The sequence below is a fragment of the Homo sapiens genome, chromosome 11 (genome assembly GCF_000001405.40).
Source record: "Homo sapiens chromosome 11, GRCh38.p14 Primary Assembly".
NCBI lineage: Eukaryota > Metazoa > Chordata > Mammalia > Primates > Hominidae > Homo > Homo sapiens.
In genome coordinates, this window is record NC_000011.10 from 24,122,269 (window position 1) to 24,139,161 (window position 16,893).

At 33.4% G+C, this 16,893-nt stretch overlaps 1 long non-coding RNA gene across 1 annotated transcript in view; it reads right to left on the reverse strand.

Moving 5' to 3' along the window:
- LOC107984378 (uncharacterized) overlaps positions 1 to 16,893 on the reverse strand; it is a 39,568-nt gene that overhangs the window by 3,300 nt on the left and 19,375 nt on the right. The window lies entirely within an intron of this gene.

Here is a 16,893-nt window from a genome sequence, read left to right on the forward strand (position 1 = left end):
TTTTAAATGTTGACAAAATGAGGTAATAGGTTTTTATCAATTTGAATAAGACTGTCTCCTACAGCTGTTGGATTGTCAAACTCGGTTGAATAATGACAAAAATTCACAGTACTTTGAATGACTTATGAAAAATAAAAAAAATATAAATTGAGTAGGGAATAATTACATAGTAGAGTGCCAGAATAACAAAAATGCATCTCTGGTTTCCAAGAATTCCGGACACTCAGCTAAAAATAAGAAAGCTTTCTTTCTCTGGCTCCGCCAGTACTTCACTGCATGTCCTCTGATAAACCCACTTAGTCTTCCAGAGCCTCATTTTCCTTCCTTGTAAAATGAGAGATGGTGCTTGACCAAAAAAATCCTCAAGTCCTTCTAGTATCCAAGTTCTCCTATTTTGCATTATTATTCTCTCTACTCTATGTTTCCATCTTTTACCTTTACTTCTCTCTCCTCCTTTTTCTCTCTGAATCCCCTTTCTTCTCTTGTCCACTCTTTCTTCCACATCTGTTCATGTATGTGAGGGTGAGAGATATGTGTGTCTGTGTCTATATCTAGAGAACAAGAGTGTGCAAAATTTCTTTTGTAACACATATACAATTTATTTGAAATAGGTTATTTTTGATAACTGTATTATAAAAAATTTAAAGTTATGTTAGATTTAGTCCTTAATATAAATGAAATGTGTTAAGGAAACATTTCTTTCCTTTCAACTTTTGTAAATTATTTCATTGTCAAAATTAAGTAATAGAGCTGGTGAATGTTCTAAAATATAATTAGGAATTTTTTACACTTGGCTCGATAACTGGATAGAAACATACACAATGAAATTAACCAAACCTAAAGAATAAGTGAATTTTCATTCAGTTTAATGAGTAGCTAATTTAAAATATCAATGTTGGTAAACAAGTGCTGAAAATGCAAATTTTTTTTCCGTTTTTAATATTAAGATATTCTACATGCACTATTGACAGTGAACTGGTGCCACCTCTTTATTCTGAGACTAACAGTTGTCCTGGAGGAGAACCCCTAGGACTGGCTTTTCTGCAGACATACTTCATTGACACTATCTCATCATCCATTGGTTCATTGTTCTCAGTTTTGTATGAAAAAATGTCTCCTTGTTCCTTATTCACTTATCTGACACCACAGATGATGCCTTTGTGAAGCAGTAACTTTTTGTTCATGACATCTCAGTTAATATAAATAGAAGTGATGATAATTTCAGGTAGAGAAGAAACACTTGAAGATAGATGAAAATAGAGATAAGAGATAGAAATTGAGATAGAGATGAGAGAAGAGAGAGTTCTTCCAGTGTAAATATCTTTAGAAACACGTTCCCTAAAATTTGTCTGCCCTAATTTTAATATTTAACCTGAGACTTTAAATCATTTGACTACTTTTAGAAGGGTCCAATTCTATGCCTCACTCTCACCCTAGCTCCGTTATTTTGAAGCTGCTTGTTTTGCATTGTTTTCTATGATATTCCATAAAGTAAGAAGAGTAAGTTAGCCTTTTCACTTTGCATAACCATGAGAGGACCTGGGACACAGTAAGCACTTAAATATTCATTGAATGAATAATTTAAAGAAAATAACAGTGGGTTATACTGCATCTATTATTTTCTATGATTTAATAGCTCAATAGCAACTAGTTTTGGATGGTGAATCCAACTTGGAAGATTACTATATCTTGGCACCATGTCTTTGCTTTAAAATAAAATATCAGTATAGAAGGAACAAAATCATTGCAAAATTCTCACTGACAATATTTAGATAAAATATGTAATGAGAACAAAGGAAACAGAATGCACCTGGCAATTGCAGAGCACTTGCCCTTCCATTCTTTTGTCTGTTCTTCATGTAGTCACTCATCTTTACATAAATCATGTATTCATTCAACATTTATTAAACAGTGTTTCTCTGTCACTTTTTAAATGTTATTTATTTATTTTAATTTTTTTTGTGGGGGATGGAGTCTCACTCTGTCGCCCAGGCTGGAGTGCAATGGAGTGATCTCGACTCACTATAACCTCCACCTCGCGAGTTCAAGCAATTCTCCTGCCTCAGCCTCTCGACTAGCTGGGATTACAGGAGACCACCACCACGCTTGGCTAATTTTAGTGGAGAGGGAGTTTTACTATGTTGGCCAGTCTGGTCTCAAACTCCTGATCTCAGATGGTCCACCTGTCTCAGCCTCTCAAATTGCTGGGATTACAGGCGTGAGCCACCGCACCCAGCCTACAACTTTTAACGATAGTTGGAGAGATAAAAAACAATACAACAATAATGTAAGACCTCTTAAAGGAAAACTGTATAAACAATGACATTTAAAATATTTAAATTAATACAATGATAATGAAAGACCGCAGAGTCCAACTAAATGATTTAGAGTCAAAATAAAATTTAGCCTTTGGATCTCTATACTATATAAATGTATACATTATCTCATAGAAAGTTAAGAATCACATATAAGAGAGAAACGTAGGATTTTAGAAATGAATTACTTCCTCATTTTTAAAATATACGAAATAGGGTCATGCTCTTGTGAATCACCTATATTCCCTTTTCTTGAATAAATATTATACTACTAAAATACCTTGGTATAGGTATCTATGCTTAGGATCACACTAAACAAATATATCAAATGAAAGCTTAAGTACACATTACATTTTTTGTATACCTGCCCAGGGCAGCTCCTTCTCTCCAGCCATGATTGAACCACGACCCATATGTATTCCTTCACTTTCCATTTCACTTAACAAGTTCCAGCTGCATTGACCATTCTCCAATGCTCAGTAGTGCTCTAAATCTCTTTCCCATTAATCAACAATATGAGGAGGGAGGCAGTATTCCCTAACTACTCTCAGTGGAAGCGAAAAATTGGATTCAGAAGGCATTGGCAGGAATTTTCATACACAGAAGTGGTGAAATCAGACGGGATCCATTCCTACCCAGATGTAAATCCCCCTCCAGCTGGTACGCTCCAGAATTTTACTTTATTAAATATACAGAAAATTTCACTTGATTTTTGTAGCTGTTGATTGATTTCATGAAAATATTTCTTTTGCTATATTTAAAACAAATCACCACGAACCAAACCACTCATGCTGTTGTATGACTCCTGTGGCTGGAAATTCTCATCATCAAGAAACTCTGATGTGACTTGGGGGTATCTACACTTTCCCTCTCCTGTGATTCACAGAACACTTGAAAAAATGCACTTAGAGGGGACAATGGAAAAACATAAAGCCACTGTAAGCTTTAAATGCACAGATGATATGTAAGGCTAAATTAGTCCCTAAGGGATTATTGTCTCTCTGCCCAGAAGTAAACCCTCTGTAAATAGAAATTTCCCTCGGTTTAATCTTTCAGGGTCTTCATTTTTCTGATTATTTGCTGCCTGAGTATCTCCTGTATTAGTTACAACATTCTGCTCATGTCTGCTCTTAACTAACTCAATTAATAGTCTCAGGCTTCTCTGCAATTCATCCACTGAGGAAACAAATCCCTTTTCCCACAGGTCAGGGAAAGAAAAACTGAAAGGGTCTACTTTGAAATGGAAATGAGGGAGCAGAAAGATGAAGGAAATAAAATAAGTACTGAAGGCAGTGCTTTCCATATTTTCCCTCTTGAAGTATTGCTAATAGCAGAGATGAGTGGAGATGTACCCTCCTATTAGTCCCTGGGCAGAGCCAGGAGTAACACATCTCTAACAGATTTTCTTTGAATTCTCAAGTTTAATCGTTAAAAGTAAAATAATTTGCAGGCTACTATATAACATAGATGTTCATCTTAGTATCATATAATGTAGGTTGTTTTTTTATTAGAATTAACTGTAATACCACCTAGAAAATAATGGCATCGTTATGACATTTCCTTCCCCTATTCATAAGTGTAATATATTTTTCCATTTGATAAACTTTTTTCTGAGTCCTTCAGAGTCTTTTATATTTTAGTCTCATGTATGTTTTGAACATTTCTTGCTATCCATATGTGTTTTATTTCCTTTCTATCATAAATGAAACTTTCTCTTCCATTATATTCATTTTTAATGGAAGATTAATATTAATAATTAATAATAATGGAAAATAATATATCCCATTATTATTTTCATTTGAATATACAATGGCTATTGATTTGTATGCTAATTTTATTACCTTCTACTTTGCTACATTTTCTTATTGTGAAAAGGATTAGCTTTTCCTTAGATTATTTTGGAGTTTCCAAATATCTAATTGTATCACCTGTAACTAAAGTCGTTTTTACTTTTTGTTTTTCTTCTAGGTTTTTACGTTATTATTTGTTTTAGATGTCTGGCAATTTCTTCTAAAACAATGTTAAAAGGCCATGGAAATAATGGGTTTCCTTTCCTTCTTCCTGTATTTGGTGAAAATTATTTAATGTTTCTTCTTTAAATAAGATATTGCCTTTTCAGCAGAGGCATATTATGTGTTAAAATATAGTTTTCTTGTTAAAAAATTATTAGCTTCTATTTTAACTGTCTTTTACTTGAGTGGATGCTGAATTTTGCCAAGTATCTTTTGTAGTTCTATAATCAATTATTTTTTGTTCTATTACAATGGAGGAGTTTATTAATTATAATATATTCACCTCACAGTACCCTTGTATTCTACAATTAACTTCACTTGGTCATGATGTATAATTTTTCAATTGTTCCTGAATTATCTTTGTTGATATTTAACATTTAACAATTATTTGATGTTATACTTCTGATTTTAATTTTTTATACCATTTGTTTTGTGGTTTTTTAGTTTACTTTGTTGTTTTTAATTGAAGGCTGTGAATTGAGCACTTATTAATACCTCATTTTATTTTATTGACCCAATTACTTTAACGCTATGTTTTTCTTTGATAGTGCTTTAGCTTTACCCCATGATTATGATATATTTTATTTTCATTATAACTTTTTACATAAATTTTGAAATTTAATTTTTATACATTTTCAACAATATGTCCTTTTTAAAAAAAGTGCATGAGATCTTTTCACTTCTATTATTATTTTTAGTTGTACGCTTTACATGTTGAGAACAATTTTTTTTAAAATTTTTCTTCTAGGGAATTCAATGGGGTTTAGTACGTGGCCTACAGTGCAGTCCATTTTTATGCATAGCCAAAGGACTTCGAAAGCAAGATAAATCTTTTATTATCAAAGTTCAGAGTTTTATCTGATATCTATTTGTTCTGTATGAGATTACAAGAGATGTGCTAAAGTCTTTCTTCTTAATAAATTTCACCAAGATTTGCCTGTCCATACCATAAAATCTAGGATTCATCCTCAATGAATCTCAAATCCACATATACATCTTAATTCTCACATTATTACTCCATTATAGGTAGCTATTGTTTCCTGCCTAGAATATCTATCTCCTAATGACATAAATAGCTCGTCTCCATTCTGCCCAAAGCCAGGAAATAAGATCATACATTTCCTATCTAAAAATCATTAATGTTAGCTTAAGATACAATCAAAATTTCTTCATGTATTTTACAATAACCTGCCTGTTCACCATCCTCATTTTGCAGTGCCTTCCACATCTCTCAGTAGATATCAGCCTAGGCTAAACTTTTTCCATTTTCTTCAAAATGTTAAGAACTTTAAACTTCTAGATCTTTGCATGCGCTAGTCTCTTTAACTGAAATATTTTACCCATCACTCTTCTCCTACTAAACACATAGTTCCTTTGTCACTTAGAGAAAGAAGTCTTCCTGTCTTTGTCTCCCATTATTTCCCAATTTAACTTAATTCTTGAAGTTTTCTATCATTGAAGTTATATAAATATGTAATTATACTTTATTTTGTAAGTATTTACTTAATGTGTTACTCTCCACTAGTCTGTAAATTTTATGAAGGCAAGAACTATTTCTGGCTGGATTTTTTCCACATTATATCTCTACAATCCAGTGTAGTGCTTATAAATGCTCAATAAATAATTGTGGAATAAAGATATACAAGTGTTTTCAATAATTTCACAACAATATAAATGTTTTAACATAATGCTTTTGGACTTATAATGGGAGGTGCATTGCAGCACATTGAGCAATTTAGAAATGGGCTGCATTTACCTAGTAGATTCCTTAGGTTGGACATCTGACAATAAAGTAGGAAAAGAAATTTTACACATGCATAATACCCCACCTGCAAAAAAAAAAAAAATCACCAAAACAATAAAACTTTAGCATAATCAGCATAATCACCTGTGTAATAATTAGAGGCAGATAACTGTTGATTTGTCTTTAATTTATGGTGAAGATGTATCTGCTGAGTTTTTGTGGTTTAATATAGCTGCATGAGAAAAATGCCTAAAAATTTTCTGAATGAGATTCAAATTGTGACCTGTTGCATATCTAAAACAGTTCTTGTTAGCTATAAAACTAATTAAAAGCGACAAGTAAGTGTAATAAAAATATTCGAAGACAATAATTTTTATCAAAACTACTTCTATAAAGGTTCCCCACGCTTCTGTGGAATCAACTACACATTACCCCAGAGATATGAAAATTGCAAAATGAATTACCATTTTAGAAAGATCAAACTATACTGTCAATTCCTGTAAAATATATGAAGACGCTGACACCTAGAACTAGAAGTTAATCACTTAACTTTCATCAGATCTCGTCTTGAACTCTCAAGGTCCCTGCTATGGTTTGAATGTGTCCTCCAAAGATCCTGTTTTCAAAGCATGACCCCCAAAGTGAATGTGTTGAAATGTGGTATCACTAAGAGCTGTTTAGGTAATGACAGATGTGCCTTCCTGAACAGATTAGTGTCATTATTGTGAGAAGAAATTCTTTAGCATGGAAGTTAGTTTCTTTTTTATTATTATTATTTTGGATTGGGGGGTTACACGTGCAGGTTTGTTACATGGATGTATTGCATAACGGTGAGATTTGGGCTTCTATTGAACCCATCACACAAATAGTTAACATTTTACCCAACAGATAATTTTTCAACCCTCACTGCCCTCCCTGTATCCTCCCATTTGTAGTCAATTATTTTTGTCTTTATGTCCACGTGTACCCACTCTTTAGCTTCCACTTAGTAAGACTATGCAGTGTTTGACGCTCTGAGTTATTTTACTTATGAAAATGGCCTCCAGTTCCATCCATGTTGCTTCAAATAACATAATTTCATTCTTTTTTTCATGGCTCAATAGTATTCCATGGCATGTATATAACACATTTTCTTTGTGCAATCAACCACTGATGGACACTTAGGTTGATTCTATGACTTTGCTATTGTGAATAGGGCTCTGATAAATGTACAAGTGCAGGAGTCTTTTTAAAACACCATTTTTTTTCTTTGAGCAGATACCCATAGTGGGATTGCAGAGAGGATTTGTAGTTCTAATTATAGCTCTTTAGGAAATCCCCACACTGTTTTCCATAGAGGATATACTAATTTACATTCCCACCAACAGTGTATCTTTGCCAACATCTGTCATTTTGTTTTCTCTTTTTCTCTGCTTCCTCGCTAACATCTGTTGTTTCCTGGCTTTTTAATAATAGCCATTATGCTTGGTATGAGATGAAATCTCACTGTGGTTTTAGTCTTCATTTCTCCGATGATTAGTGATGTTGAGAAATTTTTCATATATTTATTGGCCATGTAAATGTCCTCTTTTGAGAGGCGTCTGTTCATGTCTTTTGCCCACTTCTTAATGGGGTCATTTATGGAGTTTTTTTTTTAACTTTTATTTTAAGTTCAGGGGTACAAGTACAGGTTTGTTTCATAAGTAAACTTGTGTCATATGGGTGTTTGTTTTATAGATCATTTCATCACTCAGGTATTAAGCCTAGTACCTACTATTTTGTTGCCTTAATTTCCTTATGAATTCTGGATATTAGAGCTTTATTGGATGTATAGTTTGTGAATATTTTCTTCCATTCTGGAGGGATTGTCTGTTTACTCTCTTGATAATTTATTTTACTCTGCGGAAGTTCTTTAGTTTCATTTGGTCCCACTTGTCAATTTTTGTTTTTGTTGCATTTGCTCTTGAGGTCTTAATCGTAAATTCTTTGCCTATGCCAATATCCAGAAAATATTTTCCTAAGTTTTCCTCAATGATTTTTATAGTTTCAGTCTTTATATTTAAATCATTAATCCATCTTCAGTTAATTTTTGTATATGGTAAAGATAGTGGCCAGTTTTGTTCTTCTGCATATGGCTAGCCAATTTATCCAGCACAATTTTTTGAATAGGGTGTCCTTTGCTCATTGTTTATTCTTGACCACTTTGTCTAAGATTAGTTGATTGCAGTTACACGGCTTTATTTACAGATTCTTTATTCTGCTCCATTGATCTATATGACTGTTTTTGTACCAGTACCATGCTGAGTTTGTTACTAATGCCTTGTAGAATAGTTGGGAGTTGGATATGTGATGTCTCTGGCTTTGTTCTTTTATGTTAGGATTACTTTGGCTATTTGGGCTCCTTTTTGGTTCCATATAAATTCTAGAATTGTTTCTTCTAATTCTTTGAGAAGTGACCTTGATAATTGGTAGGAATTGCATTGAATCTGTAGGTTGCTTTGGCAGTGTGATTGTTTTAATGATACTGATTCTTTTAATTCATGATAATGTATTGTTTTTCTTTTGTTTGTGTAATCTCCAATTTCTTTCATCAGTGTTTGTAATTCTCTTTGTACAGATTTTTTACCTCCTTGGTTACAGGTATTCTTAGGTTTTTTTTTTTTTGACCCTTGCAAATGGTATTGAGTTATATTGATTTGGTTCTCAGCTTGAGTGCTGTTGGTGTTTAGAAATGCAAGTTATTACTATATGTTAATTTGCTATTGTAAAACTTTACTGAAGTTGTTTATCAAATCTAGCACTTTCTGGAGAAATCTTTAGTGTTTTCTAATATCATATTACCAGCAAAACAAAAGATCATTTAACATCCTCTTTTCCAATTTGGATGCTTTTTCTTTCTTTTCTTTTGCCTGATTGCTCTGGTTGGAACTTCCAGTACTTTGTTGAATTGGAGTGGTGAGAGTGGGTATCCTTGTCTTGTTCCAGTTCTTAGTGAGATGCTTTCAACTTTTCCCATTCCATATAATGTTGGTTGTGGGTTTGTCATAGACAGCTCTTATTATTTTAATAAGTGTTCCTTCTATGTCTAGGGTTTGAAGGTTTTTATTATGAAGGTGAGAGGTGAAGACAGCTGGACTTCCTGGGTCCAGTGACTTGGAGAACTTTTCTGTCTAGCTAAAGGTTTGTAAATGCACCAATCAGCACTCTGTAAAAATGCAACCATCAGTGCTCTGTGTCTAGCTAAAGGTTTGTAACTGCACCAATCAGCACTCTGTAAAAACGCACCAATCATTGCTCTGTGTTTAGCTAAAGGTTTGTAAACGCATCAATTAGCACTCTGTAAAAAGGGACCGATCAGCAGGACATGGGCAGGGACAAATAAAGGAATAAAAGCTGGCCACCAGAACCAGCAAGGGCAACCCACCCAAGTCCCCTTCCACTCTGTGGAAGCTTTGTTCTTTCACTCTTCACAATAAATCTTGCTGCTGCTCATTCTTTGGGTCCGCACCACCTTGAAGAGCTGCAACACTCACTGCAAAGGTCTGCGGTTTCAATCCTGAAATCAGCGAGACCACGAACTCGCTGGGAGGAACAAACAACTCCAGATGCGCTACCTTGAAGAGCTATAACACTCACTGCGAAGGTCTGGGGCTTCACTCCTGAAGTCAGCAAGACCACAAACCCACCAGAAGAAAGAAACTCCAGACACATCCAAACATCTGAAGGAACAAACTCCAGACACATCATCTTTAAGAGCTGTGACACTGACTGCGAGGGTCTGTGGCTTCATTCTTGAAGTCAGCGAGACCAAGAACCCACCAGAAGGAACCAATTCTGGACACAAAGGGATGCTGGATTTTATCAAATGCTTTTTACTATCTAAAGAGATCATCATAGAGTTTTTAATTCTGTTCATGTGGTGAATTACATTTATTGATTTACATATGTTGAACCATCCTTGCATCCCATTTGAAAATGGATCAAGTGGATAAAATCCATGTTTTTGTGATGGATTATCTTTTTGATGTGCTATTGAAGTTAGTTGGCTAGTATTTCCTTAAGAACTTTTGTATAGTTGGCTAGCATTTCCTTAAGAACTTTTATATCTATGTTCATAAGAAGTATTGGCCTGTAGTTTTGTGTTTTTTGTTGTGCCCTTACTAGATTTTGGTATCAGTATTTTACTGGTTTTAAAGAATTAGTTAGGGAGTCACTAAAGAACTTATTCATGTAACCTAAACCACTTGTACCCCAAAAACTATTGAAATTAAAAAAAAACCCTCTAGGGAGCTGGGCATGCTAGTGCATACCTGTAGTCCTAGCTACTCAGGAGTTGAGAGGGAAAAATGGCTTGAGGCCAGGACTTCAAGGTTACAGTGAGCTATGATTGCATCACTGCACTCCAGATCAGGTGACAAAGCAAGACTTAGTTTCCGAAAATAAAGTTCAAAAAAAAAGAATTAGGGAGGGTTTCTCCTGCTCAACATTTTGGAATAGTATCAGTAAGACTGGTAAAGTCTATCCACTGTGTATCTCATAAAATTTGGCTGTGAATCTTTCTGGTGTTTGGCTTTTATTTGTTGGTATATTTTAAATTACTGATTAAATTTTATTTACTCACAATTGGTTTGTTGAGGATTTCAATTTCTTCCTGATTCGATCTTCAGGGATTGTATGTTTCCAGAAAATTATCCATTTCCTCTAGGCTTTCTAATTTGTGCTCATAGATATGTTCACAGCAGTCTCTGATATCTTTTTTTAATTTTGTGGTATGAGTGGCAATGTTTCCTTTGCCATTTCTGATTGTGCTTATTTGAATCTTCTGTCCTTTTTTATTGGTTAATTTAGTGCATCATCAATTTTGTTTAGCCTTTCAAAGGGTCCATTTTTCTTTTCATTGATTCTTTGTACATTTTTTGGTCTCAATTTCATTTAGCTCTACTTTGATCTTCATTGTTTCTTTTCTTCTGCTAGCTTTGTGTCTTGTTTGTCCTTGTTTATCTAGATTCTTCATGTATGACATGGGGTTTTTAATTTGAGATCTTTCCAACTTTTTCATTCAGGATTTCATGCTATAATCTTTCCTCTTATCACAGCTTTTGCTGTATTCCAAATATTTTGGTAGGTTGTGTCTCTATTTTCATTTGGTCAAACTTTTTTTTTGGTTTCTGATTTAATTACATTGTTTTCCCAGAAGTCAACTCCAAATATATGTTTTTGTATTTGAGTATCTGGTTAGCTTATTTTGGGCTTCTGTTTTTTACTCTTTTAGTAACTAACTAAAATAAGGTTAGTTAGATTTAGTGACCTAACTATGCAAATGCAATCTTAATTAGTGTGTTACTATTTATGTAGCATATGTATATGAAGAAATAGAGAGAAGAAAGTTCATGGAAAGCCATTTGAACAAAATATTTTTATAATACTATTAACGGCCAAAAGCTTTTATGTTTGGCATTGAAAAATCAGTGTGAGCAAGGAAGGAAAGCACAAATGTGTCACAGCTATTCCTCAACTCTATCAATTTTGCAGCCAGTTAAAGGTGGCTATCAGTTCCAGTATTATTTTTATGTTACTTTAGAAAGTTTTGGATAGGAATGCATGCATCTTTGTTAGATTAAAGGAATATGAATCATGGAATAAAGAGACAGAAAAGTTTTTATAGAAAACAGAAATGGAAACAGTGTAATCCCAAAATAAATGTATTTCAAAATTTGACTGTGTGTTTAAATTTAAATTTAAAATTTAAAATTATTGCAGCAGTAATGTGTCTACATTATCGCTGTAAGGATGTTGGAGCTTCTATGGAATAAACAGGCAGGGATTTCAATCTTGTTGGCCACTTAGTAGGTGTGTTACCTTGGCCATGCAACATCTCCATGAACTTTTGTTTCCTTACAAATTAAATGGAAGTGAGGACTATGAAAATATGTATTATAAATGTGATGCAAATGTGTAGCACTTTAAAGTATTAGTTTTTATCATCATCAGGTAATATTTAATGATAAAACTTTAAGTTTGAATACTAATAGCTATATTATCATTTTATTTCTCCATGATAATCTTGAGAGAGATTGTAAATAACCTGTTAAATAAATGTTAAATATTCCACTTCAATTGTAAATGAGATTTTGAACTTAATAACAGCTTAGGTTATATTTCAAATGAATTGTATAATAGATAATGTCATAATGATAGTCATAGTAACCACACACATAGAAGGATTGAGGGAATTAAATATGCCAAGTAACTTTTTGCAGCATTTTTCCTCTGAACCACCTGCTAAATCTGAGAGAAAGGAAAAGAAAACGAGGGTAAATTTTTCTATTGGAGCTTCCTTTTTCCTTGTTGAGTTTGATAAAATTAAATCCACAGAGGTAAAAGTATTTTAAGTTTGTATTAAAGTGTATAAACCATGTTTTGTTTTCCTATCAGTCTACAGTTAGGTTTTGAAGCAGCTCCAATCAAAAGACAAATTTTTCTGAACTACAGTGCACCTCTACTCTCCCTTTGCTCTTTCTTAGCTTTCTTTCCTTGTCCATTCCTTCTCCGAGCTCACAGATACAGGTATTTTATTACACTCTGTTGTCATTCACCCCAGAAGAGTACCAGGATATATTTCAAGACACTCTCCAAACTTCCTTGTTAATGTTTTCATCAGAATATAATGATTTCAAACTCTTTGTCTAGCCTATGCTATTCAACAGCACTTTTATCATCTGACTTAGTTTCTTCCCTGTGATCTTTGACATATTGCATCACAGGTCATATTGCATCAGAGTTTCTGCATTAGCTAAGAATATGTGCTTCCTTCACTGAAAAGAAACTTCAACCAGTTTATTGAAAAACTATTAAATTCCAAACTTCCTAGTTCATAATTTGGACATCATTATAAGCTATTCTCAATAACAGTATCTATTCCTATAAATCAAAATAGTAGATGCTCATATCAATTAGGTATGTTTCTTCAGTTAAATTAAGACAAAAGAATCAAGCTATGCATTGTGCTAAGCAGGGGAATGTAGAAAAAACAAAGGACTCATTAAATTTCTAAACTGACAAATATGCTGATGTCATCTAATTAATTGAAGCATACATACAAATTTATATGACCTTGTAACTCTTAAAGAGAAGGCTTAAACAGTATTATAACAGCTCTTATATGCCAATCCTGTCAGCTTGTTATATTTCTTCTTTAGTTTATTATCTTATTTGTACCTACTAGCTTCACAGTACATGTGATTCAGATTCATACATTAACAAATTACAACTCCTTACCTGTGGAAGATGTTTAGTGCTATTTTAAAATACAAAAATTAAAATAATTCTAAGAATGCTGAGTATAGGCTGAGTTACCTTTAATATTTTTAACTGTGTCCAGAATTTTAAGCACTTTATTAGCATTACCATCCTCAAAGAGCTTTGTTTACTATTTATGTAACATTTTTTGTACTTTATATATTTGTATTTATAATGATTTTAAATAAATCCCTCCTTCATCTACTTTTATTTACTATTGCCTTGTTAAAATTAATAGCATTAATAATATTCTAATTTAGATTGGGTTAGAAATCATACTTATTCATTGATTTTTAGTATACATTATAATAAACACATAAACTTGAGTTAAAAATGGACAGCCATGTACCACTTAAAATCAGCTCATAAGGTGCCTGCATTAATATGCTAGGGCTGTCTCAACAAAGTACTATTGACTGTGTGGTTTAATCATCATAAATTTATTTTCTTACAATTCTGAGGGTTAGAATCCTGAGACCAAATTGTTGCTAGGGTTAGCTTGTTCTGAGGGCTGCGAAGAAAGCATTTGTTTCCAGCCTCTCCTCTTGACTTGTAAATGGCCATCTTTTCCCTGAAGTTCCTCTTCCTTCTGTTCATGTGTGTGTCCAAATACCCTCTTAGGGACACAAGTCATATTGGATTAGGTCCCACAATAATGGCCTTGTTTTAACTTAATTACTACTGTAAAGACCCTATTTTCAAACATGGTCAAATTCTGAGTTATTGGTGGTTAAGATTTCAGTGTAAGACTTTTTTGGGAGACATAATTCAACCTATAACCGAGCCTAATGGAATACTTTCTTGTGTGTGACATGAACTTTTTCTTTATTTTGCCTTTTTTAGACTGATGGCTGTATTTGGAATGACCTTCCTTCTATGTAGGAATCGATTTCTGCATATTTCAATTTTATTACACTTCAAGGAAAACCACTAATAATGCCCTTTTACACAATTTTTCTGATCCCCCTATTTCTTTCCCCACAAACCAAATAAATGACGCCTCTCATTCTCTAAACTCTAAGAGTACATTAGTTGCATCTCTCCTTAGGATTATTTCCCTTTAACAGAAGTGCATTGGTTTAATATTAAGGAAGAAATTGTTTTAAAGAAAATTTGTTTTATAAGAGGCGTATTGTGTTCTTTTCCCTTCATAGAACAATTATTAAAAGGTAATATTTCTAATATTTCAATTGAGGACAAGGAGAAATAACAACAAAAGAGAGTTGTAAAATAAGAGTGACAATAAGAAAGAGATAAGGAAAAGAAGGCACTTTTATTTTATTTATTTATTTTGTTTTTGAGACGGAGTCTCACTCTGTCGCCCAGGCTGGAGAGCAGTGGCATGATCTCAGCTCACTGCAACCTTCGCCTCTCGGGTTCAGGTGATTCTCCTGCTTCAGCCTTCCAAGTAGCTGGGATTACAGACATGCACTATGATGCCTGGTAGCTTTGCTTGTGCAAATAGAAAGATTAACCACATTTCTAAATCATTTATTTTCTGGTTTTAGTCACTCATTAGTTTCTATTATTCTCTCCATATTGGGTTTGTGATATAGCTGAATCCTTCCTTAAATCCACATCCGTCATCTTTCTTTCTTTCTTTCTTTTTTTTTTTTTTTTTTTTTTTTTTTGGGGGGGGGGAGCATTTTGCTCATCACTACTTCAACCCCTTTGAAGGCATATTTTAGTGTTTAAGTAATACTTCATAAAAGTTTCATGAGAAAATTCTTATGCTATTTTTGAGTTTGCAATGTCATGAGATCTGTGATTTTATCAACATAGGAAAAAAATGACATTTCTTGCCACTTATGATAAGCATAAAGCTTTCTGCCCTTGTTATACATCTAATCCAGTAAACCACTACCCCTTAGCTCTAGAGTACCTTAGGAACAAGGATGTCCCAAAAGTTAAAGTGATGAAAAATAAGAATTTGAGAGTTTAATGTTCCCACTCAGGTCCTTTTTATTAATGTGAATATTATATATGTTTTTAGAGACATTTTGTTTTTATTTATGGACATACTCATATTTCTCCTTCAGAAGCAAAATAAAACTATACATTATCTTCACCATCATCAAATACTGGCTGAACGCCAACTGTGTACAATGTCTAGTGTTAGAACCTGAATATACCACAGAGCTATAAGACACATAGCACTGCAATAAAAAAAACACAGCACATGTTAAGAGAGCTCGCAAATATATATATTCATAAATTTATATACTTATAAACATATGTTTATAAAATAAATATTCATAAAAGAGAACATGCGATAAATATCAAATAAGTGGCTTAGACACATAATGTTTACAGGAGTTCAGAAGATGGTTCAGAATTTGTAACATTTCAAATAGGTTTCATGAGTGAAATAACTCAAGTAGACCTTTGGATGAAAGGCAGTACTTATTACAGAGAAAGACAGTTTTCAATTAAGATACAAACAGTAGCGAAAAGTGTGGCAGCATCCATATATCCCCTTAGTGCTTCAGTAGAATTTGTTATAACTGTATTTCAGTGCTCATTATTGCTAGTCCTTGATATGACCCAGGTTCTGATTTACCACAGCACTTAATGTACCCTTATCAGGTGTGCTGAGTTCACATGCAAATTACTATATTCTTGCCTTCCTTGGGAGGAAAAAACAACAGGATATAAAACAATGGAAGACAAGTTCTACTGAAGTCCATAAATTCCAGGCTAAAAATTAATCTGATGAGCAATAAAATTATTACAGATCTTGAGGAATAATGGAAAAAAACTTAAAGCATGCAGAACCCTCATAAAGTCATTGCACATATATTGTTTTGAGTTAAAGGGTCTTCTAGAATGTTGTCAGTAGGAATACAAGGAGATGAATTTCAAAGTATTTTAATAAAAAATTTGCAACTTTGTTTAATGTATTATTACTTAAAATACACAGAAAAATGATTTGATCAGAAGACATTTTTGCAAAGATGGTGTTGTATATAGCAGGTTGACAGCATTTCTTTCCCCGAATATTTAATGTAATAAAAAATTAACTAAAACTAACCAAAATAATAACAATAATAAAACAATAAGAGCAAGAATATTATGAACTAAAAAATATTTATAAACCTATGCCTAAACTTCTTGCCAAGGAAATAAGCTGAAAAATGCTAGTGTATGTTAACCTTATATAGAAAAGCTGTGGTTTCAAACAAGCAGAAACTGGGGAAGAAGGTAAGTCAACAAAATCATCACACTTCCCCCATCAACATAGAAACCGGTACATGAGTCAAGGGCAAACCTTTGAGAACCTTCTGCATACCTACATTGTACCTCATCAAGCATAGAAAAAGGCCACTAAGCTTTCCATCTTTTAGGGAATAGCACTGAAGTAGAGAATGGGTAAACTCCATTATCAGATTTGTGAAGTTAGTCCTAGTACATGGCATTTCAAAAATCAGGGACATTACAGAGCCCAGATTCCACAGACCACTGCATTCTCCATCAGTGAATCTGTCAATTCACCTCATGCAATCCTCAAACTTCACACTCAACTTGCAGTTAAAAAAGACAGAAA